At 43.0% G+C, this 25,643-nt stretch overlaps 1 protein-coding gene across 18 annotated transcripts in view, besides 7 other annotated features; it reads left to right on the top strand.

The window, feature by feature from the left end:
* KDM4C (lysine demethylase 4C) overlaps nucleotides 1-25,643 on the top strand; it is a 454,786-nt gene that overhangs the window by 41,936 nt on the left and 387,207 nt on the right. The gene's annotated exons all lie outside the window — the stretch shown is intronic.
* Nucleotides 3,993-4,638: an enhancer, noted in NCBI's record as "H3K27ac-H3K4me1 hESC enhancer chr9:6766791-6767436 (GRCh37/hg19 assembly coordinates)". NCBI's record gives its function as "activates a minimal SCP1, AML or CMV promoter by ChIP-STARR-seq in naive H9 embryonic stem cells {active_cell/tissue: H9 hESC(naive)}" and the evidence as "EXISTENCE:reporter gene assay evidence [ECO:0000049][PMID:30033119]".
* Nucleotides 4,639-5,282: an enhancer, noted in NCBI's record as "H3K27ac-H3K4me1 hESC enhancer chr9:6767437-6768080 (GRCh37/hg19 assembly coordinates)". NCBI's record gives its function as "activates a minimal SCP1, AML or CMV promoter by ChIP-STARR-seq in naive H9 embryonic stem cells {active_cell/tissue: H9 hESC(naive)}" and the evidence as "EXISTENCE:reporter gene assay evidence [ECO:0000049][PMID:30033119]".
* Nucleotides 8,356-9,329: an enhancer, noted in NCBI's record as "OCT4-NANOG-H3K27ac-H3K4me1 hESC enhancer chr9:6771154-6772127 (GRCh37/hg19 assembly coordinates)". NCBI's record gives its function as "activates a minimal SCP1, AML or CMV promoter by ChIP-STARR-seq in primed H9 embryonic stem cells {active_cell/tissue: H9 hESC(primed)}" and the evidence as "EXISTENCE:reporter gene assay evidence [ECO:0000049][PMID:30033119]".
* Nucleotides 12,416-13,008: an enhancer, noted in NCBI's record as "H3K27ac hESC enhancer chr9:6775214-6775806 (GRCh37/hg19 assembly coordinates)". NCBI's record gives its function as "activates a minimal SCP1, AML or CMV promoter by ChIP-STARR-seq in primed H9 embryonic stem cells {active_cell/tissue: H9 hESC(primed)}" and the evidence as "EXISTENCE:reporter gene assay evidence [ECO:0000049][PMID:30033119]".
* Nucleotides 13,601-14,192: an enhancer, noted in NCBI's record as "NANOG-H3K27ac-H3K4me1 hESC enhancer chr9:6776399-6776990 (GRCh37/hg19 assembly coordinates)". NCBI's record gives its function as "activates a minimal SCP1, AML or CMV promoter by ChIP-STARR-seq in naive H9 embryonic stem cells {active_cell/tissue: H9 hESC(naive)}" and the evidence as "EXISTENCE:reporter gene assay evidence [ECO:0000049][PMID:30033119]".
* Nucleotides 14,193-14,784: an enhancer, noted in NCBI's record as "OCT4-NANOG-H3K27ac hESC enhancer chr9:6776991-6777582 (GRCh37/hg19 assembly coordinates)". NCBI's record gives its function as "activates a minimal SCP1, AML or CMV promoter by ChIP-STARR-seq in naive and primed H9 embryonic stem cells {active_cell/tissue: H9 hESC(naive and primed)}" and the evidence as "EXISTENCE:reporter gene assay evidence [ECO:0000049][PMID:30033119]".
* Nucleotides 14,522-14,681: an enhancer, noted in NCBI's record as "active region_28208". NCBI's record gives its function as "activates an Ori minimal core promoter by ATAC-STARR-seq in GM12878 lymphoblastoid cells {active_cell/tissue: GM12878}" and the evidence as "EXISTENCE:reporter gene assay evidence [ECO:0000049][PMID:35858748]".

Below are 25,643 nucleotides of genomic sequence, written 5' to 3' on the forward strand. Positions count from 1 at the left end.
CAGGCACCTGCCATCACGCCCAGCTAATTTTTGTATTTTTAGTAGAGATGAGGTTTCACCATGTTGGCCAGGCTGGGCTCGAATTCTTGACCTCAGGTGATCCACCCCCTCACCCTCCCAAATTACTGGGGGATTACAGGCATGAGCCACCACACCCGGCCAGGTCATTGTCTTTTTTACTCCCCGACCCTCTAAAGATTCCCTACTTCCTCATCCTCCTTACCCTTCCGCTGGTGGGGGGGGATGGATGGGGGGTAGAGGGGGCGTGGTTACGATCTTCTAAATCCACACTTTCTGGGCCTAATCCTTTTCCCATACTAACAGTCAGAATAATTCCTTTAAGGAAGCCTATCCCCCCTGCTCCTGCTTCAAGGCTGCTTTCTCTAGGGAAAAAGTCCTAACTCTCAGCTCTGTGTGTGACTGCCCAGCCAGTCTCCTTCCTACCAAACTCATCTTTCTTCCTAGTTCCCTGAATGGGCTTGGTACTCTGCCCATGCTGTTGTTCCCTGTGCCTGGACTGCTACCCCAGTTGCACTTCTTTGATTGATTCCATCTCATTCTTCAGGAAGCTCAGCTCAGTTGTCAACTTCTTCAAGTTAGTGTTCTCTCAATCCTGCACACTGGCCATAGCAGCATTCTGTAGTCTCCTTCATAGTCTTAAGCAATCATGCCATTACTTGTGTATCTCTCTTCCCTCCCTACCCTCATGCAAGCCCAGAGAAAGGTTCCCACAAAAATATTGACAGTAGTTAGTAACTTCTGGGTGATGGAATTGTGGGTAATTTGTTTCCTTTGTGTTTATGTGCATTTTCTAAATTTTCTCCTATGAATCAGTGTTACCATTGTGAAGAGGGAAAATAAGTTAATAAAAATTCATGTTTGTTAGAAAAGCTGGGAAACAGGAGAAGATAGAGGAAAAAGAAAAATAATCAGTTATTGCCCTTTTCACATTGGAGAATGCACTTTTTCTTTTTTTGAGATAGAGTTTCGCTCTTGTTGCCCAGGCTGGAGTGCAATGTAGCGATCTTGGCTCACCACAACCTCCGCCTCCCAGTTTCAAGCAATTCTCCTGCCTCAGCTTCCTGAGTAGCTGGGCTTACAGGCCTGCGCTACCACGCCCAGCTAATTTTGTGTTTTTAGTAGAGACGGAGGGTTTCTCCGTGTTGGTTAGGCTGGTCTCGAACTCCCAACCTCAGGTGATCCATCCGCCTCGGCCTCCCAAAGTGCTGGGATTACAGGAATGAGCCACCGCTCCCAGCCAGAATACACTTTTAACAGTTTTTGTTTTGTTTTAATAACTTAGATGAGATTTTGTTATAGTTTCAGCATCAAGCTTTTATTACATTTTAGTTGTTGCTTGTATTACTCAGAGATTTCTAGAGAATGGTAGGAGTACTTACAATAGGCTGCCCAGTTGGAATTTCCGATGTTGAAATTCAGCTGATTATTAGAGAACAGAATATAGCATTAGATATATGTAGCATAGAACAGAATATAGACTATTAGGGTATGAGCACTTAAGTGCTAAATAACTCTTTTCCCTTTTTCCTTGAAAAATGTCCTAATTGGTTCATTTATATGTTTCATAGTACAAAGATTTCCCTTGCACAGTTGCTCATTATTTGTACTGTTTGTTTTATTTTTGATGGGTGGTATATTTTGCATAGTAGTGGATACATTTCTTCAGTAGATTAACTTGTACTATGTGCCATACACTGTGTCAGATGTGGACAGCAGTGAACACAATAGACTGGATTCCCTATGATTTCATGGAAGTGGATTATTTTAAGAGTGTGAATGTTTAGTTAACTGTTGCACTGTATACTGTTCAGATACACATGGTATTTCAGCTACTATGGTATTTATGAACTGCTACTGCATAAAGCCTCAAATTTATTCTGGATTCTTCTGGGTTTATATTGTATATTACTATGGGTGGATATTTAAGGAGCACAATGATGAGTCATCAAAGCCTTTGTGCTAATGACTTCTTTTTTTATATCTCCATCCAGTTCCAGGTATTAATTTGGCATCTCTACTTGTTAAGTATAACAAATGTAACTCTGATCTTTCCTCTCAGCTCTGCTTCTCTGGAATTTCTCCTGCATCTCATCTCATTTCATTGCTCACTCATTTCATTATGAGTTATCCAACACTTCATGGTTCCTCAGCCCTCACATCCAAAGTATCACTTAACACCTTGTAACTTCTGCTTCAGGAATAATATTGTGGGGATCAATCCGCTTGTCTCCACCTCCAATGCATTATCCTACCATTCACTCCCATCCTCCCTCCAATCTCTTTCCAGCATGATCTTTAAGGCCTATTGCCTTATTGGATTGTTCTCATAGGCCTCAGGATATTTAAAATTCCTGCCATATCTCTTTCTACCCCAAGCTCCACCCATGTCTTATCTAGATGGTTTTTCATGTTCTCTCTACCTATTGGCTTTTCTTTTCTTCAAACTGTATACAACCTTCCTGAATGTGCTGTTTTTTGCCTGACTGATTTCTCCTCTCATTTTCCCCCTTTTCATACATCTTTCTGATCTCTACTTGAAAGTACTTCTTCAGAGAAACCTGACCTGTTACTCATTTCTCTTCTCTGATTAAATCAGCTTCCCTAATGATGAGCTGTCTTAATTCCCTGTATTTTTCCCTAACACTTAGTGGTTTATAATTGTATATTTTTGTGATTATTTGATTGTTTCTACACTGTAAAGATTCTACAAGGGCAGAGACCAAGTATTTTTATTTCCTTCTATTCTATATAGCACACTGTTCCCTCACTAGCACTATAGTATAGGTGCTCAACGAACATTTATTGTGCAAATTAATGACTTTTACATATATGCAAAAATGAAGGAACTGTAAAACCAGGACACGCATTGGGAAATACATCTTACCCATCGTGACCCAACACACATAAATATATAAAATTGAAACAAAAGTTTCACAAAACTTTATCAACTATGCTGTACTCTATTTTCTTTTTCTTTTTTTTGCAGGGGGATGGAGTCTTTCTCTGTCACCCAGGCTGGAGTGCAGTGGTGTGATCTCGGCTCACTGCAACCTTCACCTCCTGGGTTCAAGCTATTCCCCTGCCTCAGTCTCCTGAGTAGCTGGGACTACAGGTGTGTGCCACCGCACCAGGCTAATTTTTGTGCTTTTAGTAGAGATGGGGTTTCACCATGTTGGCCAGGCTGGTCACTAACTCCTGACCTCAGGTGATCCGCCCACCTCAGCCTCCCAAAGTGCTGGGATTACAGGCAATAGCCACTGTGCTTGGCAAAGTAAATATTTTAAAATATATGAAAATATATTGTATAGGTTGAGTATTCCTTATCTGAAATACATGAATTTTATATTTTTTTCAGATTTGGGAATATTGCATTTTACTATACATTACAGATGCTATAGTTACAACTGAGCATCTGTAATCTGAGAATTTGAAATCTGAAATGAGCATTTACTTTGAGTGTCATGTTTGCCCTCGAAACTTTCAGATTTTGGAGTATTTCAGATTTTTGGTTTGAGATGCTCAACTTATGTATGATAATCGTACAAAAAGCTATAATTTCAAGTATTGATTTGCTGTTTACTGGGAAGGAATGGGAAAATTTTTGAAATTAGAAATGTCAGACTTAGGACAGTTGGCCCCCTTTAGTGGGGGTCTCGGTGTGGGACATTTTAGTGGAGTTCATAGTCCTGCTTCCATTTTTAGCATTGTACATTTAGAAATATGAACTTTTTCAGTCGACCGAGAGTGTCAGGCATTGGAAGACTAATGTCTTCAGTGTGGTTCCCTAATTAAACTGGCAAGAAGAACTAGAATCTGGATCTGAAATGCTTGTGTCTGCTCATTAGGGCTCTTTCTAGAAAGTCTCGGTCCCTGGGAAAGCACATAAATGATCACATAGTTTTTGGTGACAGGTAGGCAGGCCCCAGCTGATGGGTAGTGCTGAACAGGATTTTTTTTTTTTTTAACCTGCTGGGCTTCCCTGACCCTTGAGCATTCACCTCTGCTTATCAGAACATTCTTCTCTGCCAGTACGTTTTCTCTTGTTGAATAAGGTTAAAGAAGCGATAAATTCCTTCATTTGGCTCCCTTTTTACCTCCATCTTTGCATTTGTTTTTTGTACCAGATGTTTGTTTAAATTCCAGTCCTCAGGACAGGCTTTGTCTGATCATTAGTATATTGTTGATTCTGTTCTGTTCTGAGAGTCCATCAGATACTTTGAATGGTCACAGGCATCCCTTTGAGTGGGTGAACTGAAGTGTTTTTTTTGCAGGTAGTTTATCTCATTTTGTTTTTTATCTATTTAACTTTCTTTTTTGCTTTTTTTTTATTCTTTTTTGAGATGGAGTCTCGCTGTGTCGCCCAGGCTGGAGTGCAGTGGCACGATCTCGGCTCACTGCAAGCTCCGCCTCCTGGGTTCACGCCATTCTCCTGCCTCAGCCTCCCGAGTAGCTGGGACTACAGGCACCCCTCACCTCACGCCCGGCTAATTTTTTTGTGTTTTTAGTGGAGACAGGGTTTCACCACGTTCGGCAGGATGGTCTCGAACTCCTGACCTTGTGATCCGCCTGCCTCAGCCTCCCAAAGTGTTGGGATTACAGGCGTGAGCCACCATGCACGGCCCCCTTTTTTTTTGAGACGGTGTCTTGATCTGTCACCTAGGATGCAGTGCAATGGCATGATCTCGGCTCACTGCAACCTCTGCCTCCCAGGTTCAAGCGATTCTTCTGCCTCAGTCTCCCGAGTAGCTGGGACTACAGGCACCTGCCACCATGCCTGGCTAATTTTTGTGTTTTTAGTACAGATGGGGTTTTGCCGTTTTTAGTAGAGATGGGGTTTTGCCATGTTGTCCAGGCTGGTCTTGAAGTCCTGACCTCAGGTGATGTCCGCTTCAGCCTTCCAAAGTGCTGGGATTACAGGCGTGATCTTCTGTGCTTGGCCATCTGGCCATCTATTTAACTTTCAAAAAGGAATCCTTCCCTAAAATTTGGGCACATAAAGTGATACCTCTCAGTCTATAATATTCAGGCAGCTTTCATTAGCAGGAAGAATCTGGCCCTGAGATAGGTAAAATCATTTTCCTTTTTTTTTTGATAATTTTATTTATTTTTCTAAGTTTGTATTATATATACACACATAATATTTCTTTTAGTATTTTCAAATAGGCAATACAAGGTATGTAACAAGATATAAAATTCAGAAGGTATTAAAGGGTAAAATGTGTACATGGTTCTCACTTTTAGCCTTTAGACAGCTAGTTCCCTTCTGTCTAAAATTCCCTTTTAGGGAATATGAACTTTTTCAGTCGACCGAGAGTGTCAGGCATTGGAAGACTAATGTCTTCAGTGTGGTTCCCTAATTAAACTGGCAAGAAGAACTAGAATCTGGATCTGAAATGCTTGTGTCTTCTCATTAGGGCTCTTTCTAGAAAATCTCGGTCCCTGGGAAAGCACATAAATGATCACATAGTTTTTGGTGACAGATAGGCAGGCCCCAGCTGATGGGTAGTGCTGAACAGGATTTTTTTTTTTTTTTTAACCTGCTGGGCTTCCCTTTTAGGGAATTTTAGAGATATTCTATATAAATTTATGTGTGTGTTTACATTTTTTTACACAAATGGTTGTCTTCATGCTCCCTCACTCCTCAGTAACTCAATGTGTATTTCCTACATTTTTCTCCATAACTGCAGTATATCCATCAAAATCAGGAAATTAACACTGATACATTACTATCATCTAATTTTTAGATTCTTCATATTTCACTATTTGTTATAGTAATTAATGTTCTTCATAGCAAAAGTATCCAGTCCAGAATTGTGCAATATGTATTCTTGTTGTAGGTCTTTTAAGCATCCTTCAATCTCAAATATGGATTTGAGAAGGATTTTCATGATCTTGATTTTTTTTTCCTTGATCTTCATGGTCTTGATTTTCATGATCTTGACACTTTTTGTTTTTCTTTCTTTTTTTTTTAAAGAGGGAGTTTCACTCTGTTGCCCAGGCTGGAGTGCAGTGATGCAATCTCTGCTCACTGCAACCTCCACCTCCCGGGTTCAAGTGATTCTCCTGCCTCAGCCTCCCGAGTAACTGGGACTACAGGTGCCCATCACCATGCCCGGGTAATTTTTGTATTTTTAGTAGAGGCGGGGTTTCACCATGTTGGCCAGGCTGGTCTCGAACTCCTGACCTCAAATGATCCACCCACCTCAGCCTCCCAAAGTGCTGGGATTACAAGCGTGAGCCACTACACCTGGCCTGGAGTTTGTTCATTTTAAAAAAGGAAATTTTCATCAATACTCTTAAGTGAAGCTGGTTTGCAGTTTTCTTGGGTCGTTTTTAAGTTTTGTTACTCATTTTAGGCTTCTTAAGAAAGGATTTCTAAGCTTGCTGTTTTTTTTTTCCATGCAATCTGGAACATCTTAAATAACATGTCATACATTTCTTAAAAATTGATCAGAATTGTTTATCTAGTGGAGAGAAGATTTGTTCCTTATTTAGTGGGCTTTGGTGTGATCTTTTTCCTTTTTTTCTTCTCTTCTCTTTTCTTTTTTGGCAGCTGGAGAGCCTAGCAAAGAGGTCAGTTATATTTGGGATCTGGGTCCGGGATACAAAACTTGGAGTCAGTTCATTGCACCTATTTGCTGTTTGACCTTAGAAAATTTATTTCCATTTCTAAGTCTTGGTTTCATCATTTCTCAAATGGGAATAATCACAGCCTGCTAACTAACATCACAGAGAACTTTTAAGAATGAAAATGAAGTAACATATGTTAAAGCACAGTAAAGAACCAAGCAAATGCAAGACTTTTTTTTATAAGAAGGTTCTTTTTAATAAGACGTCAGTACTCAAAGAGTTGTCAATGAGGATAGATCTCAATATCATGCTACTGAAGGAGTTTGTGTAGATGGACAATGCCTCCTGCTCCAAGAGCAAGCACATGGAGAAAGGGTCAATGGACACATTTGTTTTGCTGTTTAACAACAAAGAAAAATTATGAATTAGACAAAATGTAGTCTAGATAGAATTTATTTTTGTGAACATTAATGAGGGTTTGGTCATGTATTTATTAAAACCATGTGTTACGCCATGCCCGGTGGCTCATGCCTATAATCACAGCACTTTGGGAGGTTGAGGCGGGTGGATCACCTGAGGTCAGGAGTTTGAGACCAGCCTGGCCTACATGAGGAAACCCTCTCTGCTAGTAATACAAAAATTAGCCGGGCATGGTGGGGCATGCCTGTAACCCCAGGTACTTGGGAGGCTGAGGCAGGAGAATCGCTTGATCCTGGGTGGTGGAGGTTGCAGTGAGCTGAGATTGTGCCATTGCACTCTAGCCTGGGCAACGAGAGTGAAACTCCATCTCAAAAAGGAAAAACAAAACAAACAAACAAAAAACACCAAAAAAAAAAAAAGAACCCCGTGTGTTGTAAATCAAGGAAAAATGTTGGGTAACAGACTATGACTTGACTTTGTGCTTATATCATGATTGTATTTAATTTTATTATAAGTTGGTTAAATATTTGAGACTTTGGGGAAATTAAACTTGTCAAGCTGTCAACTTATCAGTTTGGATTTATGGTTTCCTATTTCATTTTGTAGATATTGAAAATACATGTCAATATCTGTGTATTTCATGTCAAGGAAGCTGTGTATTGGTATCAGGATTGAGGGAATACATGATCAACAAATACTTTTCCAAGTTTCAGTGTCACAGATTGCATATGGCATGATAATACATCACATTCATTTCCCTCAAGTTTGTTTTTTTTTTTGACAGGTAGTTAACAAAAAATGTGCAAATTGCCATAATTCTCTAAAATAGTATTTCTTGCATTCATTAATAATGAAAAAAGCAAGGATGGTCAGATTATTGTGTTTGATGTTTTTCAACGTCTTTTTTTTTTTTTTTCAATATAGCCGGTATCGTATATGGTTTTTGCGATTTTGATCCTTTTTTTTTTTTTTTTTTTTCCTTTTGAGATGGAATCTCGCTCTGTCGCTCAGGCTGGAATGCAGTGGCGCAATCTTGGCTCACTGCAACCTCTGCCTCCCCGGTTCAAGTGATTCTTCTGCCTCAGCCTCCAGAGTAGCTGGGACTACAGGTGCATGCCACCACTCCCAGCTAATTTTTGTATTTTCAGTAGAGACGGGGTTTCACCATATTGGCCAAGCTGGTCTCAAACTCCTGACCTCGTGATCCACCCGCCTTGGCCTCCCAAAGTGCTGGGATTACAGGCGTGAGCCACTGCGCCCGACTGTGAATCTTTTTTTTTTTTTTTTTTTTTTTTTTTTTAAGAGATGAGGTCTCTCCAAGTTGCCCAGGCTGGTCTCAAACTCCTGAGCTCAAGTGATCCTCTTGCCTTGGCCTCCCCCCAAAGTGCTAGGATTACAGGTGTGAGCCACTGCACCTGGCCTGATTGTGAATCTTTAGGAATAATTGGAAAGTTTGCGTATTAAATTGTCTTGAAATATGTTTTCTAAGTATTTCAATTTTTTTAATTTATTTATTTTTTGAGACAGAGTCTTGCTCTGTCGCCCAGGCTGGAGTGCAATGTTACGATCTCAGCCCATTGTAATCTCCACCTCCTGGGTTCAAGTGATTCTCCTGCCTCAGCCTCCCGACCAGCTTGGATTACAGGCATGCGCCACCATGCCCTGCTAATTTTGTGTTTTTAGTAGAGACGGGGTTTCTCCATGTTGGTCAGGCCGGTCTCGAACTCCTGACCTCAGGTTATCCACCTGCCTTGGCCTCACAAAGTGCTGGGATTACAGGTGTGAGCCACTGCACCCGGCCAGTATTTCAAATTTAAGGCTTAGTTTTTATGTTTGAAACTAAGGATGAGTAGTCTCCATGGCCTCCCATGAGTCCTTCTGATAGGACTAAATAGGCTGGATAATCTCATAAAAGTCACAATGTAGAATTGCTGGAAAGCGCTGGTCCAGGCCACAGCTGGGTGCAGGGGCAGTACAGTCCAGTATTTGGTGAGGGGCTCGCTGCCCAGGCTGAGTGCTGGAGGGCCTCAATGGGTGACCTGCATGGTAGTTGCCAGGAAGCCAAAGCAGGCCCAAGGGGTTGTGACCTACCTGGGAGACTCAAGTAGCTCTTGCAGGTGTTGGGAAGCCTCTCCCCATTCCAGCCCCCCTGAGGGAGACAGTGCAAGCCCAGCAGGCTTTCAGTGTGAACTTAACACTCCTGTGAAATGCAAATTTTGGAAACTGTTGGAATGGCCTTGTTTGGCTGCCTTCTCCCTTTATCAATCCAGTTACATAAAAATAAGGATTTAGAAAGTAAATGAGTTAGGTTTCTAAATTAATATTCGTAGGAGAACAGTCTGTTTTTCTTTTTTTTTTGAGACAGAGTCTCACTCTGTTGCCCAGGCTGGAGTGCAGTGGCGCGATCTCGGCTCACTGCAAGCTCCGCCTCCTGGGTTCAAGCAATTCTGCTGCCTCAGCCTCCTGAGTAGCTGGGATTATAGGTGCCTGCCACCATGCCTGGCTAATTTTTGTATTTTAGTAGAGACGGGGTTTCACCATGTTGGCCAGACTGGTCCTTTTTTTTTTTGAGACGGCGTCTTGCTCTTGTTGCCCAGGCTGGAGTGCAATGGCACGATCTTGGCTCACCGCAACCTCCGCCTCCTGCGTTCAAGCGATTCTCCTGCCTCATCCTCCCAAGTAGGTGGGATTACAGGCATGCACCACCACGCCTGGTTAATTTTGTATTTTTAGTAGAGACAGGGTTTATCCATGTTGGTCAGGCTGGTCTTGAACTCCTGACCTCAAGTGATCTGTCCACCTCGGCCTCCCAAAGTGCTGGGATTACAGGTGTGAGCCACTGCGCCTGGCACAGATTATTTTCTTTGATTTTTTTTCTTTTACTTTTTTTTTTTTTTTTTTGAGATGGAGTTTCGTTCTTTCACCCATGCTGGAGTGAAGTGGCGCCATCTTGGCTCACTGCAGCCTCTGCCCCCCGGATTCAAGCAGTTCTCCTGCCTCAGCCTCCTGAGTAGCTGGGATTACAGGTGCGTGCCACCCCCATGCCTGGCCAATTTTTGTATTTTTAGTAGAGATGGGGTTTCACCATGTTGGCCAGGCTGGTCCCGAACTCTTGACCGCAGGTGATCCACCCACCTCGGCCTCCCCAAGTGCTAGGATTACAGGTGTGAGCCACAGTGCCTGGCTTTTCTTTTTCTTTTTTGTTTTTTTGACAAGGTCTCACTCTGTCACTCAGGCTAGAGTGGAGTGGTGAGATCATGGCTCACTGCAGCCTCGACCTCCCAGACTCAAGTGATCCTCCTGCCTCAGCCTCCTGAGTAACTGGGATTACAGGTGCACACTACTACACCTGGCTAATTTTTTAATTTTATTTGGAGAGACAGGGTCTCCCTATATTGCCCAGCCTTATCTCGAACTCCTGAGCTTAAGCGATCCTCCTGCCTCAGCCTTCCATTGTGCTGGAGTTACAGGCTGTGCCCAGCCACAATGTGCAAATGCTACCATAAATTACCATTTTTTAAAAAACGAAAGCAGATACTTTAGACAAATTATTTATTTAATGCCAGTGTCATTGTTGATGTTATAGTTTATGATTATTTAAAAGTTAAAGGTATTTTACCAAATGAGCTACACTTGATTGTCCATTTAATCTGTCAGTTTAATTTGTATAGGTATTCATAGGCCAGGCGTGGTGGCTCATGCCTGTAATCCCAGCACTTTGGGAGGCTGAGACGGGCAGATCACTTAGGCCAGGAGTTCGAGACCAGCCTGATCAACATGGTGAAATCTTGTTTCGACTAAAAATACAAAAATTAGCTGGGTGTGTTAGCGCACGCTTATAATCCCAGCTGCTCAGGTCGCTGAGGCAGGAGAATTGCTTGAACCCAGGAGACGGAGGTTGCAGTGAGTCAAGATCGCACCATGGCACCCTAGCCTGGGCGACAGAGTGAGACTCTGTCTCAAAAAAAAAAAAAAAAGTATAGGTATTGTAGATGTGTTACTGGTTGTATAATACAGTAAGATTGGGGGAAGAGACCTAGGCAAGTTATTTCCATTTTAAGGGCTTGGATACAAATGCATAACCAAACCCTAGGCATTTATTTTATTTATTTTTATTATTTATTTGTTTATTTATTTTTGAGATGGAGTCTCACTGCAAACTCCGCCTCCCGAGTTCAAGCAATTCTCCTTTCTCAGCCTCTTGAGTAGCTGGGACTACAGGCGCATGCCACTATACCTGGTTAATTTTTGTACTTTTAGTAGAGACGGGGTTTCACCATACTGGTCAGGCTGGTTTCGAACTCCTGACCTCAAGTGATCCACCTGCCTCAGCCTCCCAAAGTGCTGGGATTACAGGTGTGAGCCACCGTGCCTGGCCACCCTAGACATTGAAATTAATGTAACAAAATACAATGAAAAAACAGTCTACAGTCCTCTGTTGGGTTCACAGTCCTTCACCAGGCATGCAGGTTTGTCTTCCTTTAGGTAATATACAAACATATGGAACTGTCAAATTTAAAAACTCAAGAGTAATTGCTTGACATACAGAGGGATTTCTTAAAGAACAGTTTTACGCTGGGCGTGGTGGCTCATGCCTGTAATCCCAGCACTTTGGGAGGCCGAGGTGTGCGAATCACTTGAGCCCAGAAGTTTGAGACCAGGCTGGGCAAAATGGCGAGACCCTGTCTCTACTAAAAATACAAAAATTAGCCAGGTGTGGTGGCACACACCCGTAATCCCAGCTACTTGGGAGGCTGAAGCAGGAGAATCACTTGAACCTGGGAGGTGGAGATTGCAGTAAGCTGAGACTGTGCTACCGCACTCCAGCATGGGTGACAGAGTGTTTAAAAAAAAAATTTTAACATAGCATTAAAATATTTTCTTGCAGATATTTATAGAAATATATTACCTATATTGATTGTTTCATCTTAAAAAAGGTTTTATATGATACTTGGGGCATGCAAAAGACATGGTATAGTTCTATGAATTCACCCAGATATCACTGTATGTTTCTCTTCTATCTCATCCATCTTCTCTCCTTGGCAACCATGTCCTGATTTTTGTGTTCCATATGCCCTTGCTTTAAAAAAATGGATTTGTCTTTTATGCATTTATCCTTAAAGAGTAGATTAAATTTGATTTCAGATTTGTGAAAATGGACTTACGCTTTGGTTAGTTTAAGGCTTTCTGAGATTCATCCATATTTATTTTCTTTTTTTGAGATGGAGTCTCTCTCTGTTGCCCAGGTCAGAGTGCAAGTGCAGTGGCACAATCTTGTCTCACTGCAACCTCTGCCTCCTGGACTCCAGCAAGTCTTCTGTCTCAGCCTCCCGAGTAGCTGGGATTACAGGCATATGCCACTATACCCAGCGAATTTTTGTATTTTTAGTAGAGATGGGGTTTCACCATGTTGGCCAGGCTGGTCTTGAACTCCTCACCTCAAGTGATCAGCCTGCCTCGGCCTCCCAAAGTGCTGGGATTACAGACGTGAGCCATCCTGCTTGGTGATTCATCCATATTCCTGGGAGTAGCTATGATTTGTTAATTTTCACTGCTGTGTAGTTCCATCGGGTGAATATATTGTGATTCATTTCCTTATTTTCTTGTAGATTGATTTTTGAGTTTTCAGTTTTTAGTTCTTATGAAAATGCTGTAATGAACATTATTGTACATGTCTATTGTTGAACTTACGCTAGAATTTCTTGAGGCCCTAGCAAATGGTTTTTTTTTGAGATGGAGTTTCGTTCTTATTGCCCAGGCTGGAGCGCAGTGGCACAATCTCGGCTCACTGCAACCTCCACCACGCAGGTTCAAGCAATTCTTCTGCCTCAGCCTCCGGAGTAGCTGGGATTACAGACATTGGCCACCACGCCTGGCTAATTTTGCATTTTTAGTAGAGACGGGGTTTCTCCATGTTGGTCAGGCTGGTCTCGAACTCCTGACCTCAGGTGATCCGCCTGCCTCGGCCTCCCAAAGTGTTGGGATTACAGCATGAGCCACTGCGCCCAGCGACAAATGGTTTTTAAACAGTTGCACTGCTGATGTTTTGGTGCTTGGTAATTCCTTGTTGTGGGGACTTTTTTATGTTTAACAGCATCTACCCATTAGATGCAACTTGAACTCTTCCTCTTGTGACAAAAATGTCTCCAGGCATTGCCAATGTCTCAAGGATACAAAATCACCCCTGGTTGAGAACCATTGTTACTTTTGATACATGAACAATTAAAAATTATTTTTGTGCGTTCCGTATATCCCATAGAAGGATAACACACCTTTCTCTTTTTTATTTTTAGAGATGGAGGCCTCACTGTGTCTCCTGGTCTAGAATGTAGTGGTGCGATCGTAGCTCACTGAAGCCTTGAACTCCTGGGCTCTGGGTATTCTCCTGCCTCAGCCTTTTGGGTAGCTGGAACTACAGGCTTTACAGGTGTATGCCACCATGCCCCGCTCAACACATCTTTCTTTCCTTTTTTGAGATGGAGTCTCGCGCTGTTGCCAGGCTGGAGTGCAGTGGCACGATCTCGGCTTACTGCAACCTCTGCCTCCCGGGTTCAAGTGATTCCTGCCTCAGCCTCCCGAGAAGCTGGGAATACGGGCCAATGCCATCACGACCAGCTAATTTTTTGTATTTTTAGTAGAGACAGAGTTTCCACCATGTTGGCCAGGATGGTCTTGATCTCTTGACCTCCCAAAGTGCTGGGATTACAGGCGTGAGCCACTGTGCCCAGCCTCAACACATCTTTCTTTGGCTCAAGTCCCATTTATCTTCAAGGCCTGTCTCAAACCCACTTTTTTTTTTTTTTTTTTTTTTTAAGTTGGAGTTTTGCTCTTTTTGACCAGGCTGGAGTGCAATGGCGCTATCTCAGCTCACTGCAACCTCCACCTCCTGGGTTCAAGCGATTCTTGTCTCAGCCTCCGAGTGGCTGGGATTATAGGCACATACCACCACGCCCGGGTAATTTTTGTGTTATTTTTAGTAGAGACAGGGTTTCACCATCTTGGCCAGTGGGTCTCAAACTCCTGACCTCATGATCCACCCGCCTCGGCCTCCCAAAGTGCTGGGATTACAGGCGTGAGCCCGCGTGCTGGGCCTCAATCCCACCTTTTAAAGGCTTCTCCTACTGTGCCCATTTGTAGTCTTATCTTTTCCCCAGGAATTCCTATAGCACTTAGGTTTGTATATTGAGTTTGACCCTTAAGTTTTTATTGTCTTGTATTGTCAACTTTTCCAGGATTCCTCACCCTTCTGTATTTTCATCCCCTACCCCCAAGTAAGGAAACAACAGATTTTCACTTACTCTGTAGTCAGTTGTCTAATCTGTATTGCTGTTGTTGATTTCCTTTGGATTTTGGTCAATTTAGGCAGCTATCTGGGAAGAATTCTTTTTATTAATATTATACTTTTGGTGTTTTCATCTACAGCAGGGTGGAAGCAGACCTTAAGCACCCAAAGCTCTCTACTCCTTTCTGCCACTTACGTTCTCAGCAAAACCTCAGTAACTGCTAGGTTTTATCTTTTCAAAGCTGCTTTTGAGTGAGTTTGTTAACCTCTTGATGTTCATGTTAAGTACTTAAATGTTAGCTGCCCCAGCTGTTAAGTCATGCAAAGAGTCTTCCTTCAGCTTCAGCTGGGCACATCTCCGGGGCTGTGGGAGGACTTTTAGAATGACAATGTGATCTGCCTCATTTTATCTTTTCTGTAGTGAGTGTAGCTCTTTCAGTAGTGAATGCCTGTGTTTTACATTTTTGAGATTGTTCCCTTTACCTGTCTAAGACAAGAAAGTTGTTATATCTGTTCTCCTTATTGCCCCCAGGTCCTTGAAGTTAAAATTTTTTTTTTGAGACTTAGTCTTGCTCTGTCGCCCAGTCTGGAGTGCAGTGGCGCGATCTTGGTTCACCGCAACCTCCACCTGCTTCCACCATGTTTGGCTAATCAAATGTAACATTCTTAACAAGCCATCCTCTAGATTTAAAATGGTTTGTAATTGGAAACTGAAATGGTTTCCAACTGCAAGCCATAAAAACTTGAAATTCTTCAGTTTGATAGTCAGGATAACTAGTCCCATCATTCCATCATTTTTCTTCAAAACATACAGGTTTTCAGGCCTTTTTTTTTTTTTTTCTCCCCATAAAGACAGGATCTCACTCTTTCCCAGCCTGGAGTGCAGTGGCAAAATCATAGCTCACTGCAGCCTTGAACTCTTGGACTCAGGGAATCGTCCTGCCTCAGCCTCCTGAGTGGCTGGGACTACAGGCATGCCACCATGCTTGCCTAATTTTTTCTTTTTTTTTTTTTTTGAGACAGAGTCTTGCTCTGTCACCAAGGCTGGAGTGCAGTGGCATGATCTCGTCTTACTGCAACCTCTGCCTCCTGGGTTCAAGCAATTCTCCTGCCTCAACCTTCTGAGTAGCTAGGATTACAGGCACCTGCCACCACCCCTGGCTAATTTTTGTATTTTTAGTAGAGACAGGGTTTCACCATGTTGGCCAGGCTGGTCTTGAACTCCTGACCTTAGGTGATCCTCCCGCTTGGGCCTCCCAAAGTCCTGGGATTATGGGCATGAGCCACCCCACCATTCCTGGGTTTCAGGCCTTTGTAGCTAAATAACTTATTCACTCAAGTGACAGCTCTCTGCTTCCACAGCTAAATACAAAAGTTTATCAGATTTTTCCAAGGCCCGGTGCGGTAGCTCACGCCTGTAATCCCAGCACTTTGGGAGGCTAAGCTGGGAGGATCACCTAAGGTCAGGAGTTTGAGACCAGCCTGACCAACATGGTGAAACCCCGCCTCTACTAAAAATACAAAAATTAGCGGGGCGTGGTGGCACATGCCTGTAATCCCAGCTACTTGGGAGGCTGAGGCAGGAGAATCTCTTGAACCCAGGAAGCGGAGGTTGCAGTGAGCTGGGATCATGCCACTACACTCCAGCCTGGGTAACAGAGCAAGACTCTGTGTCACAGTGTTACATTTGTGAGATTCGTCTATCTAGGTGGAGATTTGGTGCCTTTTTTTTTTTTTTTTAATTATGAGAAGGAGTCTCATGTTCGCCCAGACTGGAGTGCAAGTGGCCTGGCTAATTTTTTGTATTTTTAGTAGAGACAGGATTTCACCATGTTGGCCAAGCTGGTCTTTAACTCCTGACCTCAGGTGATCCACCCACCTTGACCTTCCAAAGTGCTGGGATTACAGGCCTGAGCTACCTCACCAGGCCTGATTAAAGTCTTTTTTTTTTTTTTGAGATGGAGTCTCGCTCTGTCGCCCAGGCTGGAGTGCAGTGGCGTGATCTTGGCTCACTGCAAGCTCCACCTTCCGGGTTCAAGCCATTCTCCTGCCTCAGCCTCCCGAGTAGCTGGGACTACAGGTGCCCGCCACCATGCCTGGCAAATTCTTTGTATTTTTAGTAGAGATGGGGTTTCACCGTGGTCTCGATCTCTTGACCTCGTGATCTGCCCACCTCGGCCTCCCAGAGTGCTGGGATTACAGGCGTGAGCCACCGTGCCTGGCTGATTAAAGTCTTTTAATATGAAAAGACTTAGATTCAGAACTGAGCAGGGTAAGGAGAGAGTGGAAACCTGTAAGGCATTCTTGCTGGAGTAGATCTAGCAGAAGTAGCTTGGGTCTGAAGAAATAGTTCTGGCACGATTCCTGACCCCTAGATCATAACTAATTTGGTGTGTTCGTGAAACAAACAGGTTCCACAGCAACTTCCTGCTCCCCAGATCTCAGTCAAGGTGCTATGAACTTGGACCCTGATCTTCTGTTTGTAGTAGCAGTGGCAGTTCCCTTGACAGCTCCTGCTGCAGCAGTGTTCTGGGAGACATCCCTGGGGATTGAGCTGAGAGTCTGCTCTTGCAACCTTCAACAGTGCTCTAACACCAGTCAATATCAAATCCCTTTCTGCTTAAGTTAACCAGAGCAGTGTCTATGGGTAATTGAATCATGACTGATGCTATTATCAAATATAAACTGATGACAATGGCAAGTGGGAAACCTGCTGTTTTACAAATACCAGATGTGCATCACATGGAGGTTTATTCACTCCTATTTGCGTTTTGATAATAATCCTTTCTAATAATTGGTTCATTGGTGTAATCTTTATGAAATTAACCTGAGTGGCTCAAAATTCATTTTGTAGCACTGAATGCAATTACTAATTGAGCTATTTAAGCAAACTAGCCAGCCACCTACAGCTACTTAATCTTACTGGCCTACTATAGTAGCTCTGACTCACCCTTATCTTAACCAGATAAGGGATACCATACATTCTCTCTAAAGAACACCACTGACCTCACACACAGGGCTAAGTAGGCTATGCCTATTGTTAATATATCCAAATACCAGTTGAATACTCAGCAGGTCAACAGTATTTCCCATCCAGTTTATGCCAGCTGTGTAAGTATGAGATATAATTAAAAATTATGTAAATAGATTAGCTGTGAATACAGCGGTGTTATTGTTTCTACCAAATTTAAGTTGAATCCTTTGGAAAGCACCATTAAAGATGAGGTAATTTATTTTTAATCTCAAACGAGGTGTGGGAATTATAACAGTAAAAAGTTAAGAGATCGGGAATTTGTAAACATCTGCAAGGATTCTGGCTCATATTGCTTCTCAAGTATCCTAATTCTCATACTGTTATTAAAAACAAACCCACAAAAAAACGAAAGAGAAATTGGCCAGGTGCTGTGGCTCACACCTGTAATCCCAGCACTTTGGGAAGCCAAGGCAGGCAGATCTCTTCGAGCTCAAGAGTCCAGGACCAGCCTGGAAACATGGCAAAACCTTGTCTCTACAAAAAATACGAAAATTAGCCGGGTGTGATACTGTCCACCTGTAATCCCAGCTACTTGGGAAGGCCGAGGCAGGAGAATTGCTTGAACCAGGGAGGTAGAGGTTGCAGTGAGCCGAGATTCCGCCATTGTACTCCAGCCTGGGCAACAAGAGTGAAACTCCCTCTCAAAAAAAAAAAAAAAAAAAAAAAAAAGCGACTTTAATCATATTTGGAATGTCTCATATAATGTAGATTTCAGCTCTCCAGAATGCAGTCTCTTGAAGGTGCAGATTCTTCAGGCATTGAGCTCATGATTTCATTATGCCTATGATGATTCAGTCTTGGCTTTTTGGTCCCTTCATCTTTCTTGGGGCCTTGCATTCTCTTGATTCTACTTTTCTCTGCTGATCTCTTTCCTTCTCTCATTTTCTGTTTATGCATATAGCAGACAGTAGCTGCTGTAGCCCCTCATGGCATTGTCTCTGCTCTCTAGTTCTGAGTCCCGGGGAAGTGATTGTGCCAGGCTAGTCAATTGTAGTCTGTAGGAGTGGCTGCCTGAATTTACCCCTGTAGGCTGGGAAGCTTCTTTGGGGCAGGGGATTTTTCTGAATGGTCTTATTACAAGGGCCAAGGTATAGTTGATTCTCATTATTTGCAGTAGTTATGTTCTATAAAGTCATCATGAACAATGAACTAGTAAATACTGAAATGTTGCTCCTAGTGGAAGTACAAGTTTAGGTTCCTGTCACCCTCTGGTCAGAACATTTTCATCAACTGATCAATACATAATCTTGTTTTTTGTGTTTTTTTTTTAAAGACACTGTATTTAAAATATAATTGTTGATTTATTAACATTAAATTTGTTGCCAACAGCACTGTAACTCATGACTGAACCAACCTTATGTAACATGAATTTTTGTCATAAGCCATATAGCTATAGCCATAAACCATGGTATTCTTGTACTTAGAAACACAAGACAGCACTTCAGCATTATGCTTGGGAGCCATTTTAAGCAGCTAAATCACCAACAGACAGTGTAAAAGTGCAAAAATCATGGCACTAAATAGACCATAGAATGGACACTTGTTTGCATTATGAGAGCTGAAACAAGAAAGCCTTTGTTTGGCCTCAGCTGGGAATGTGTGCATTGGGCAATTCAAATTTTTCATTGCGCTATGCGTGTCTGTGAATGACCATACAAATGGTGATACAAATACTGATTTTGGGGTTATAAATAATTTTTTTTTTTTTTTTTGAGACAGAACCTCACTCTTGTGCCCAGGCTGGCTGGAGTGCAGTGGCATTATCTCGGCTCACCTGCAGTCTCAGCCTCCTGGGTTCAGGCTATTCTCCTGCCTCAGCCTCCTCAGTAGCTGGGATTACGGGTGCCTGCCACCATGCCCGGCTAATTTTTGTGCTTTTAGTAGAGACAGGGTTTCACCATGTTGGCCCGGCTGGTCTCGAACTCCTGACCTCAGGTGATCTGTCCACCTCGGTCTCCCAAGTGCTGGGATTACAGGTGTGAGCCACCATGCCTGGCCTGGTTATAAATTTTAGTGAGTAGGTAAATTTGTAGATACGGAATCTGTGAATAATGAAGATTGATGACGTGTGTGGAGTGCCGAGAGCATTTAAAAAGGACGTTGTCAGTTGGTGGGGAGTGTTGCCCAAAAAGCTTCATAAGGGAGTCAACGTGTAAGATAAAGTTGAAAGATGAGTTTTGCCAGATAGGCACCACTGAGGATAGGAGAAGCAAATAGCAAAGCAGTTATGAGTAGAATCTCAGATTAGGCTCATTTCCCATCTTCTGCTCCTACTAACTTGGGACCTTGAGCAAGCATTTTATTCTCTGTCATTAGTGAAATAGGGATATTCATGGTCCCTCTCTCAATGGAGTTCTTATGAGATTTAATTAAGAGAATGAACATTAATGCACTTAACAGATGTCTTGCTCACAGAAGGTATTCGTAACGGCGTACACGTGACACATATGTCTATATATAGCACAGCAAAGGAGGGAAATGGCTTCACTCCTTTGGGAACATCGAGTGGTTTAAAGTGAAGCAAAGGTTTCAAGTGGGCAAAAGGGGTCTTTGAGGAGGGAGGGGAAAGGCAGGAGCTAGATTCATGGCTCCATACTGGAACGATATTGAGCTATTGAAGGGTTTAAAAGAGGGATAGCATCATCAGTTTTGTGTCTAGAAAGTTTGCTTTATGTTTATATAGATGTATGGAAGAGAATTGACGGTGGTGAACTAAAGGTGGGAAAATCAGCAAAGACTCTTGGGGTGGTTGAAGAAAAGAACGACAGAAGTCACTCGGGATAGTAATAGTTGGTATGGAGACTAGAGAATGGATGTGAAAGATGCTCAGGATGTTGAATTGACTACAAAGGTCACCACTTAGAAGTGGAGAGTAAGAGAGGGTAGGCTTGGGAAGGCTCTTGGGATTCTGATGTTGGCCGTGCAGTAGAGGATGGGCTTGGTGTGTAGGAGATGCTTTCACTTTTCACTTCTTTCTCCACCTTTACCCTGGTAAAAGGTAGCTCCCACTGTTCTTGTTCTAAAGGGTTTTGTGGTCCTCTCTGCTTCCCTTTATTGCAGCACCTGACCTGTGGTATAATAACCGCCTGTGTACTTGTTCTTTCCTGCACTTGTAAGCTCTTTGAGGATTAGCTGTGGTCAGTGCTGGCCACAAAGAGGCAAGCTAAACTGTGGATGGATTGAATGAATAAGGACCAAGACTGGGATAGAGAAGCAGATTTTGGAGGACAGATTCGTTTTTATCCTTGTTAAGTTTTAGATTCATTATTGTCTCTATACAGCTTTATACTCATCTTCAAATGACTGTGCCTAGCAGACTGGACTGAGATTCATGAGAGAGAGGCCCATGTAGCATTTTTCCGAGGTGTATTGGGAAGGACAGTTGAGGCCAGCATGGATGAAATCTCCCATAGTGTCTGTGTTTGGTGGAAAGGGAAGATAACTGCAGAAAGAGACTTGCAGCATACCAATAGTGGAGGGGTTCGCTGAGGAATAGGGGCATGGAAAGGAGTTCCAGAGAGTGCAGTGACCATCAGAGAGTGAGGAGGGGCTAGTTGCCCACCACCCACAAAAGCTGTGCCTGGAGAGGCTTTTCTGGTTTCAGAGGCTGCAGAAGGGTTGGTAAGAGGACTAAAAACAACATATTGATTGTAGCAATTAAAAAGTTACTGGCAACTTTTTCTGGAGTGATTTCAATCCATTGGTGGAGGCAGACATCAGATTGCAGATGAAGATTTGAGTCAGGAGGTGAACTGACAAAGAAACCCCGTTCTCTGTTGGGGTTTGTCTGTGAGAGGCTGGGGAGAGAAGGCTGTAGCTTGGGTGAGTCTAGGAGGGGACATGACATACAGGAAGCCTTTGAAAGTTATATGGGAGAAATTTGAGCATCTGTAGGCAGTGAGGAAGAAGCTCATGGAAGATATTTAATTTGAATGTTTTTTTTTTCTTTCTTTCAAAGCCAGCATGCAGATGTTACTATAGCCTGGCAATATGCTAAATTCTTACATTTAGTGGCTTACTGGATCCCCATCACAATGCAGTTGGTTAGGTAATGTTACCCCATTTTACTGATGGGGAAGCAGAGGCCTCATTTAAGTAACTTTCCTGAGGTCACACAGCTACTAAGTGGAGGAGGCATGTGGGAGGGATTAAAATCCAGTTATTGTTCCTGGTCCTGAGGAGAAAATAAAAATCCAGTTAGGTCTGTTATGTCCTGCCTCAGCCTCCCAAGTAGCTGGGACTACGGGTACATGCCACCATGCCTGGCTAATTTTTTTTGTATTATTAGTAGAGACAGGGTTTCACCATGTTGGCCAGGCTCGTTGTGAACTCCTGACCTCCAGTGGTCCACCCACCTTGGCCTCCCAAAGTGGTGAGATTACAGGTGTGAGCCACCACACTCGGCCCACTGTATTCTTTATAGCAAAAGAAAAGAGGAAAAAAAAATCCTTTTGGTCTAGGATCCAAGGCACTCTGTTCCAGAACTATCTCCTTGAGTCTGCTCTTCCATTCCTACCCCTGGCCTCAGCAGGCAGGTGGAACAAGATGGAGTGGTGATCGGAATGGGATGAAACGGATGAAATAAAAGCTGCTTGGACTTGTGAGAGAGAAATGAGTCCTGGCTTAGGCAAAAATGGTCAGGAGGCTCAGGGAGTTTCTTTGCTGTGTTGCTTTCTAAGCTGGGGCCCAGGCCTGGGGGGCCCTTTCAAGCCCTCTTGTGGTTCAATAACTGGGTAGATGTGCTAACGATTAATGGAGAGTTGTGGAGGTGGCCTGCGACTTCCCTTTTCCTCCCCAGTTTAGAACCATTTGAGAAGGATGAAGTTAGATGAAAAGTCAGAGTATTAGGAGCTTTGCTGTTGATAAAGCTAAGATTGGAGAACGTGGTCCTCTTCTCCTTTCCCTCCAGTCTGGCCCTTCATGCCTGTATTAGTTACCTAGGGCTAATGTAACTAATTATCACAAACTGGGATGGTTTAAAACAAGAGACGTCTATCCTGTCACAGTTCTGGAGGCTAAAGGCCAAAATCAAGGTGTTGGCAGGACCGTGTTTTCTCTGAAGGATTTAGGCAGGAATCTGCTTACAGCCTTTGTTGTAGTTTCTTGTGTTTGCCAGGAGTCCTTGGCATTCCTTGGCTTGCAGCTGCATGACTCTAGTCCCTGCCTCCATCTTCACATGGCACTCTTTCCTGTGTCTGTCTCTTCTCCTCTTCCTCTTTTTTTTTTTTTGAGATGGAGTCTCACTCTGTCACACAGGCTGGAGTGCAGTGGTGCGATCTTGGCTCACTGCAAACTCTGCCTCCCGGGTTCAAGCGATTCTTCTGCCTCAGCCTCCCCAGTAGCTGGGATTACAGGCACCCGCCACCATGCCTGGCTAATTTTTTTGTATTTTTAGTAGAGACAGGGTTTTGCCGTATTGGCCAGGCTGGTCTTGAACTCCTGACCTGGTGATCTGCCCACCTTGGCCTCCCAAAGTGCTGGGATTACAGGCATGAGCCACTGCGCCTGGCTTCTTCTCTTCCTAAAAGGACACCAGTCATAGTGGATCAGGGCCGACCCTAATCAAATATGACCTCATGTTAACTTGATTACATTTGCAAAAACTTTATTTCCAAATAAGGCCACATTCACAGGTGTTGGGGGTTAGGTTTCAGCGTGTCTTTTGGGGGGACACAAGTCAATCCCTAACAATGCCCAGCCAAAGCAGTGTGCAGAGCAGAAGCTTGCTTGGCTCCTGTGAGGCCACACCCAGTGTGCTGAGTGTTGGGATTGAAAGGCCAGACTCCATCACCTCAGGTAGGGCCCAGAATCCTTCTTTTTCTAGCCAGAGACATAGTCTGCTAACTGTGAGTGCTTAGGTTCCTAGAGGGCTGTGTTTTAAAGTAGATACTGAACTGTTCTCTTCAGAGGCAGCAGTGCACATCAGTTCTGTGGCAGGCTTTGTTGGAGAAACTAATACACAATGAGAGCTGTCAGTTTTTACTCCTCCCACAGAAGTTGTTTAAGAGAATACAAGTCAGAAACACAGGTGTAGACAGGGAAGGAAGGCAATGTTGGATAGAGTATTACATTTGGCCGGAAAGCATCAGACTTGGTTTCTTTTTTATTACCAAATAAAGACACGTTCTCATTAGAACAAGGAGAGTAGATGTTTGTCCTTTATCATAATGTAAAAATTTTCAGAAACAAACATGGGTTGTTATATGAGTTAGTGCTGGACTTTATTCAATGGAAAGGTCTTTAGCTTATTAAAAAAATTCTTAGGGTACTTGCTATAAATATCGTTTTTGCTGTAGGTGGTCTCAGAAACATTGAAGACCAGCTCTGTGGAAGCAAGATAACAGTTGCCTTCAGAGATAGTATTGTCATTCACTTTGTGGACTCAGTCAAAAGAAGGGTAGCATTTAAAAAAATGATTATCACCTTCAGCTAAAAATCATAGTGGTGCTTGTTTTAAGATATACCTATTTTCCTGTGACTTGGAAACATTACTGGAAGAACATTTTAAACTTCTGTTTCTTCTTGGTTCAGAAAAATAAAGGTAAAAGAGAAACAAGAGGGACTGGGGATTTAATTGTAGCATGATTAAGTTTAGTAATGATAAATATAGATTAGGAAGAACTCAAGGAACAGAACATTTATTAATATAAATACCTTTTAAATGTAATGAATGTAAGTAGGCACCTCCCAGAAAAAGAAATGCAAATGGCTATGTGTGTTCAAAAATGATCACTGTCACTAAGAATCAAATAAATGAAACTTAACCATACTTTTTTGCCCATCATATTGGCAAAGATCTGGGTGGTGTAGTGAAAGTTAACTTTTTAGATTATTTAACATATTTAAAATTTTATGATTATCCTATATTAACTTCCAAGATTGAAAAAGGTCTAAAACCTAAGCTATCTAGGTCTTTAATCTATGTATCTGATTTGTAGGTAGAAATAGTTTTGTGTAATCAAGGGAGTAGTGATGCTAGAAACTGGCAGAGTATATTTCCTAGACCAGTTAGCAAACTAGGTCAAGGTCTAGGTTTAATTCTAGTAGCCACTAATTTGCTGCATGTCTTAACAATTTCTGTGCCTCAATTTCTTGTCAGAGCCATTTTTCATTTGTTTGTTTTTTGAGACGGAGTCTTTATCTGTTGCCCAGGCTAGAGTGCAGTGGCACCGTCTTGGCTCACTGCAACCTCCGCCCCCGGGGTTCAAGTGAGTCTTGTGCCTCAGCCTCCCTAGTAGCTCGGATCACAGGCACGCACCACCACACCTGGCTAATTTTTGTATTTTTAGTAGAGACAGGGTTTTGCCATGTTGGCCAGGCTGGTCTCAAATTCCTGACCTCAGGTCATCTGCCTGCCTAGGCCTCCCAAGGTGCTGGGATTACAGGCGTGAGCCACCACGCCCAGGCCCAGAGCCATTCTTCTGTTGCTTAGACCAGAAATCTTGATTCGTATTTCTCTTACTTCTGTCAAGAAATTTTGTTCAGAATGTATTTGCAATCTACAATCTGAGCATTTCCCTCTGCCCATCATGGTCCAAGCTGCCGTCTTAACTTGCCTGGGTTAGTGTAAATTGCCTCCTTGTCGACCTCCCTGCTTCCAGCCTTGTCCTTTTTGACACAAGAGCCAGAATGTGATTTACAATATGTGAGCCAGCTCATTTCTCTGCTTCAGATGGTCCAGAAAAGTTTCTTTAGAGACAGCCATTATCTCCTTAAAGGGGAATGGATGTTTGAGTACCAAGAACTGGATAACTAAGAGGGGGAGGAACCCCAGGATCAGTTCCCATCTCATGCAGAGTAAATGCCAAACTCCTTTTCTCCCCAGTTTCATTTCTCACCATTCTCCTCCTTGCTTACTGAGTTCCAGCCACACGCATCTCTTTGCTGTTCCTTGAAGAGTCCGATAGTCTCTTTCCTTGTTGTTCCTTCAGCCTAAAATGTTCTTCTTCCAGATATCTGTATGATTAATTCCCTCCTTCAGCCCTTTGTTCCTCCGAAGTACCTTCCCTTGCCTACCCTGTATAAAATAGCCACCCCTCCCCTTTGCAGTCTATCCCCTTACCCTTGGTTCTTCTTCATAGCATGTACTTTTTATTGTCTGTTTCATTCCATTAGTGTCAGGACTTTGTTCCCTGGTGAATGACTGCCCAGCAGTTAGGCATACAATAACTATTTGTTGAATGACTCAGTGATTTCCTTTTTCCTATTGGCTTTTTCCTCTGCCTAGGGAAATGCTCGGGCCACCCTTGTTCTTTAGCCTGTCGAAGATGAACACTGCCTTCTGTGTACCAAATGTTTCTACAAAGGTGATCTGTG

This window comes from Homo sapiens, chromosome 9 (genome assembly GCF_000001405.40).
Source record: "Homo sapiens chromosome 9, GRCh38.p14 Primary Assembly".
Classification (NCBI taxonomy): domain Eukaryota; kingdom Metazoa; phylum Chordata; class Mammalia; order Primates; family Hominidae; genus Homo; species Homo sapiens.